At 39.6% G+C, this 6,432-nt stretch overlaps 2 protein-coding genes across 5 annotated transcripts in view; one reads left to right on the top strand and one right to left on the bottom strand.

Annotated features, from left to right (window-relative positions):
• TRIM5 (tripartite motif containing 5) overlaps positions 1-6,432 on the top strand; it is a 96,440-nt gene that overhangs the window by 65,602 nt on the left and 24,406 nt on the right. The window lies entirely within an intron of this gene.
• TRIM6-TRIM34 (TRIM6-TRIM34 readthrough) overlaps positions 1-6,432 on the bottom strand; it is a 47,762-nt gene that overhangs the window by 24,926 nt on the left and 16,404 nt on the right. The gene's annotated exons all lie outside the window — the stretch shown is intronic.

The following is a 6,432-nucleotide window of genomic DNA, read 5'->3' as shown; positions in this document are numbered from 1 at the left end:
TGGCAGAGAGAGAGTAAAAGAACCATTCTGAAATATGTTCAGAGCATCCCCCATAACAAAGGCCTACTCTCCACTGGAAAAGACTGGAAAGCAGAATGCTTTCTCCAAATAAGACAAAGAACTGAAGATTCCTGTACTTCTCTGGCAACAGAATGAAGGAGGCGTATTCTTGTACGATCATGTGGTTACCACTGAAACTGTTTTGAGGACATCAAAATATTGATAATGGCAATCTGTTGGCCTTTATGGTACAAAATGCCTGAGAGGCAGGGACAGCTATTCCATATGCAGAGTAGATGTCAACTTTTGTCAATAAGTACTTGCAGAGGCTCTTTTTAGGTAATAGGAGTACCAAGTCCACTTGCTACATACACAAAGCTGGTCGTTTTTCCCAGGGAGTTCATATGACTCAGGCTACCCTCATATCACCGTTTGCACACAATACATTGATTCACACATTCTTCATTTTCTCCAGGATTACTGTGAATTTTTACCCAATGACATGAAGCCTGCTCATGTGAGTGATATAAAATGGCTTGTCCTTATCATGCTACACTGATGTTTCCCAAATAAGTCACGGTTTTAGCTTTGTCACTGTTTCTCTCCCAAATCTGCCCTTAATGAGATTTGTGTCCTCCTTATGTCTTATAATTGTACAAAGCTTAAAATAGAATTTCCTCTCATAGTCCAATCTTTTCTCCCCCAGAGTATACTACATTTGATGCTATCTATAATCAATCAAGGTTCAAGAATCAAAACAATCATGTACTTGTGCCATTGTTTTATAGTAGATTAATCAATATGCAATGTATACAGTTTATCATCTAGGTTAATTTTCTCTCTTCTTTTACCCTGTATATCCATTGACATTCCTGACTGTGGTGTTAAAATTTGCATATGAAATGATTTTATTTTGTTTTTCAACATAAGCTTTCAACTTAAAGTTTTCATCATTATCTTGGTCACGTAAGCTAGACCCCAAGTTTAATATTACTTATATCATTTATGAGTAATATAGGAGTCTATTCCTTCATTAGGCCTAAGATTACATTTTGAGCATTATACATTACTTTGACTATTTGTTTGTTTGTTTGTTTGTTTTTGAGATGGAGTCTCACTCTGTTGCCCAGGCTGGAGTGCAGTGGTGTGATCTCGGCTCACTGCAACCTTTGCCTCCTGGGTTCAAGCGATTCCCCTGCCTCAGCCTCCCAAGTAGCTGGAATTACAGGCGCGGGCCACCATGCCCGGCTAATTTTTGTATTTTTAGTAGAGATGGGGTTTCACCATGTTGGTCAGGCTGGTCAAACAGTAAATATTTTAGGATTTGCAGGTCAAGCAGTCTCTGTTGCAACCAGTCAACACTGCTGTTGTAACTTGAAAGCAGTCACAGATGATACATAAATAAGCATGGTGATATTCCAATAAAGTACATTTACAAAAATAGGTATCAAAGTAGGATTTGACTCACACACTGACCTTTTCAGATTTCTAACAGACAGAAATGAATAAAAATGTTGCCTCTGAATTTTGCTGCCCTGTTTTGTAGGTCAATTCTGCCACTTCATATGTGTCCAACTTTGAGCAAATTCTTTCATCTCACTGTACCTCCATTTTCTCATTTTTTTTAAAAAAAGGATAATGACAGTACCTATTTTCATAGGACCACTATAAAGATTGAGCCCAGGCCATGCGCGGTGGCCCAAGCCTGTAATTCCAGCACTTTGGGAGGCTGAGGCAGGTGGATCACCTGAGGTCAGGAGTTTGAGACCAGCCTGGCTAACATGGCGAAACCCCGTCTCTACTAAAAAACACAAAAATTAGACAGGCGTGGTGGTTGATGCCTGTAATCCCAGCTACTCGGGAGGCCGAGGCTGGTGAATCGCTTGAACCTGGGAGGCGAAGGTTGCAGTGAGCCGAGATCGTGCCATTGCACTCCAGCCTGGGCAACAAGAGCAAAACTCTGCCTGAAAAAAAAAAAAAAAAAAAGATTGAGTCCATATATATAATGTATAGAAACGTGATTGACACAGAGGAAGCGATATAGAAAACTCAGTTGCTGTCTTCATACAAGTACCCTCAGTGGTCAGGTGGAAATGTGTGTGATTCAAATGTATGTGTTGACTTTCAGTTCAAAAATGTGAGGGTTTCCTTCGATCTCTTGAAATAAAGGCCAATGCTTAGCTGAGATAGGCAATAATGCCTTAAACTTGCAGTTCTATCTTGATTTCTCTCCTAACATTTCTCCTCTGCTTTTTCAAAGATTCCAAAATAGACTCCATTTCCCTAATTGTTTTTCATATTTTAATTATTTGCCCTTCAAATACTAGTATGTTTTCAAGATGGATAAAAATGAATCAATATTTTATTTCTTTGTTGATTCCTTATTTGACAAGAGCCTGTACCTAAGCTTGCATTTATTTAAAAAAAAAAAAAAAAAGCTGGGCGTGGTGGCTTATGCCTGTAATCCCAGCACTTTGAGAGGCCGAGGCAGGTGGATCACCTGAGGCTGAGAGTTTGAGATCAGCCTGGCCAACATGGTGAAACACTGTCTCTACTAAAAATACAAAAATTAGCCGAAGGTGGCAGGCACCTTTCATCCCAGGTACTTGGGAGGCTGAGGCAGGAGAATCGCTTGAACCCAGGAGGCAGAGGTTGCAGTGAGCCGAGATCGTGCCACTGCACTCCAGCATGGGCAACAGGAGGGAGACTCCATCTCAAGGAAAAAAAAAAAAAAAGGTTATTCTCGGCCTCAAACATCAACCCCATGAGAACCTGAGAACTAGCCCTTCACCAATCAAATGTAATGTTTCAAATCTTGGAACCCTAAAACCCCAAATTTATCTTCTAAAAGATGGTTGAAATAAACCTTGCACAGAATATGCCTTTGTTTTATCCCCTAACTGACTGAGTCTCTGTGAAGGCAAGGGCTAGACTGTATGCACAAAGCAGTTATACAGCAAATGTTTAAAAAACTGAGAGTCCCATGGAATCAAGATCATTTCTGACAAAATATAAAGTAGCAAAATATTTAAATTTTAATTAAAACTAAGTTAAAATGCCAACTCAAGCAGTAACTTGTTGGGAAAAATGAAGATAACTATATTATTTACCTAGAGCAACTACATGCCACTTAAATACTTTTCTTTTTTTTGAGACAGTGTTTCGCTCTTGTTGCCCAGGCTGGAGTACGAAGACACAAATAGTTTAAAAGTAAAAAGATGAGGCCGGGCGCGGTGGCTCACGCCTGTAATCCCAGCACTTTGGGAGGCCGAGGCGGGTGGATCACGAAGTCAGGAGATCGAGACCATCCTGGCCAACACGGTGAAACCCCGCCTCTACTAAAAATACAAAAAAATTAGCCGGGCGTGGTGGTGGGCGCCTGTAGTCCCAGCTACTCGGGAGGCTGAGGCAGGAGAATGGCGTGAACCCGGGAGGCGGAGCTTGCAGTGAGCCGAGATCGCGCCACGTCACTCAACTGCGCCATGTCACTCCAGCCTGGGAGACAGAGCGAGACTCCGTCTCAAAAAAAAAAAAAAAAATGAAAAGATATGTTATGAAAACAATAATCAAAAGAAAGCTGGGCTGGGCACGGTGGCTCACGCCGGTAATTCCAGCACTTTGGGAGGCCGAGGCGGGTGGATCACCTGAGGTCAGGAGTTCGAGACCAATATGACCAACATGGTGAAACCCCGTCTCTACTAAAAATACAATATTAGCCGGACGTGGTGGCAGGTGCCTGTAATCCCAGCTACTCGGGAGGCTGAGGCAGGAGAATCACTTAAACCCAGGAGGCAGAGGTTGCAGTTAGCCAAGATCACGCCACTGCACTCCAGCCTGGATGACAGAACGAGACTCCATCTCAAACAAACAAACAACAACAACAACAAAAAAAAAACAAAAAACAAGAAAGCTGGAGTGGCTAAATTAATACCTAACAAAGTAGAATTTGGAGAAAAAGATATTAGTAGAGATAGAGGGTCATTCCATAATGAGAAAGGGGTGTCAGTTCATCAACAGGATGTAACATTCCTAAATGTGTATGCTCCTTACAAAAGAGCTTCAAAAATCAGAAAGCAAAATCTCATAGAATTGCAGGAGAAATAGGCAAATCCACAAATATAGTTGTATATTTCAACACCCCTCTCTCATAGAAAAGCAGTAAAGATACAGAAGATTTGAATAATATCAACTAACATGATGTTAATTGAACACTGTACCCCAGGACCACAGAATACACATTTCTTTCAAGTGCAAATGAAACATTTACCAATATAGATCATATCCTTTACCGTAAAACAAGTCTCAATACAATTAAAAAGGATTCAAGTCATATAAAGTCTGTATCTGGACCATTTAAAATTAAATTATAAACCAATAACAAAAAGATATATGAACATCCTCATAGATTTGGGAAAAAATATAATTTTAAATAATTCAATGGTCAAAGAAGAAATCAAAAGGGAAAATAGAATCTTGAATAGAATGGAGAATATATCAAAATTTGTGAGATGCATTTAAAGCCACAGAAGGAAATGTATAGCTCTAAGTGCTATATATACAAAAAAGAACCCCATCTGATTTATTGCCTTGATGGTGATGAGTTTCACAAGTCAAAATGTATCAAGTTATATACTTTATGAAATGTATTATATGTCAGTTATATTACAATAATAATGTTAAGACAGTCCTCTTCCCCTAAAAAGATTATTTTTAAGTTAGAATCAAACTTACATGCCAGCTCTAACAAGCACTCGCTTGTTGGGAAATATTAGGATAACTATACCACATGTCTAGAACTTTAGTGACAATACAGTTCTCTTTTACAAACTTTAGGCTATAGAATGGAATTAACATAGTTCCAGAAAAAAGCTGAGATCCTGAGTCCTCTATAATGGGAAAAAGGATTACTTAGGGTTCCAGGCAGTTTCCACCAAAATCTGAGTTTTCTTTTCCTTGAAATTTGATTGTACATGATTGCATACAGCTAGACATTTAAAAAATCTTTACAGTTAGGTTTAGCCCTATGGCTATTCTCATTAATAGAAAATGAGCAGATATTACGAATCCCATCTATGAACTAAGGATTTAAAAAGCACGTTTTCTCCCCTAAGTTTTCTTCACCTTTCTGCCAGCTTCATGCTGTTACCATTCTGGGGTACAGCAAGTGCCACAAGATGAAAGCAAGCTTGGTGCATGAATCCCACATGGAACAGTGCCACTCACCACCAGTTACATACACTCATGACCGATTGTTTTACATTAACAAGAAGTACATTTCTTTAGTATTTGATCCATTATGTATTTTTAGAGTTCTTTTTCATAGTAGTTGAGCCTACTCTATCACATGTCAAGAACAGAAGGCCTCTGTCAAGCCCCCATAACCCCTCAAGAAAAGGTCAGAGCTGTGAACTTACCCTAATAATTGTCCCCAAGTCTCAGATTGAGCAACCTTCCCCAGGTCTTACCTATAGAATTCCAGCAAGTACTTAGTTTGGCTTTCACTATTATCTAAAGTCATTCACTGGACAATACTTTGGGTTCTCCAAGTGAATTTACTTATAAAGAAGTAAATATCACAATAAAGCTGTTAAGAAAGTCCCTCTCCCTTCCAAAATCTTCTTTTTAAGTTAGCATCAAACTTAAATATCGGCTCTAGCAAGCACTCACATTTTGGGAAATATTAGGATAACTATACCACATCCCTAGAACTCTGGTGACAAAAAAGAAAAATTACTTATAAAGTAAATTCACTTGGAAAGTAAATTTACTTGTAAAATGAGTTTACAGAAGAGAGCTGGGCTAACTCTTTTGCCTAGAACTTACTTATTATATGGGAAAATAAGTGGGAAGGGGATAACTACTCCAGCAGATCTTTCTCTTTCCTGAACTTCCACCAGCCCCATAGGTCCCAGTCAGCTGGCCCTATCTCCTTTTATATCTCTTCCAATTGAAACGCAGACCAGGATAAGGAGTTTGCATCCAGCCTCTGGGCTTCCACAGATATGATCTCCCAAATATTATAAAACGGTGCCTTAGAACAAACCAGTAGTGAGCTTTTACTATAATCTGCACTACTTTATCTCACCATAGACACCCAAGCTGAGCCTTGATAACAAATCAGTGTTTCATCAAACCATGAAGGAGCTTCAAGTGCCCAACAGACTGAGGACTAACGGCAGGGGCCAGAGTCTGCAGAATCATTCTCTGGTCATGAGCCCTTTCTATGATCTTCCAAATTTCTACACTTCTAGATATGTTGAGATCTTCTTTTCTCTGTCATTACCTTCCATAAAAATGCCTCAGGGCAGCTGGGAAGGTGCAGGTTCTGTAGAGATAAACATATGTGCCTTGAAACCTCCTCTGTATCCTGAGTCCATAGGCTTTTACACTAGGGCTCACTTAGGGACAGAAATTTCATTATAGGATCTACTC

The sequence above is a fragment of the Homo sapiens genome, chromosome 11, assembly GCF_000001405.40.
Source record: "Homo sapiens chromosome 11, GRCh38.p14 Primary Assembly".
NCBI classification, from domain to species: Eukaryota; Metazoa; Chordata; class Mammalia; order Primates; family Hominidae; genus Homo; species Homo sapiens.
This window is presented reverse-complemented; position numbering and strand designations above follow the sequence as displayed.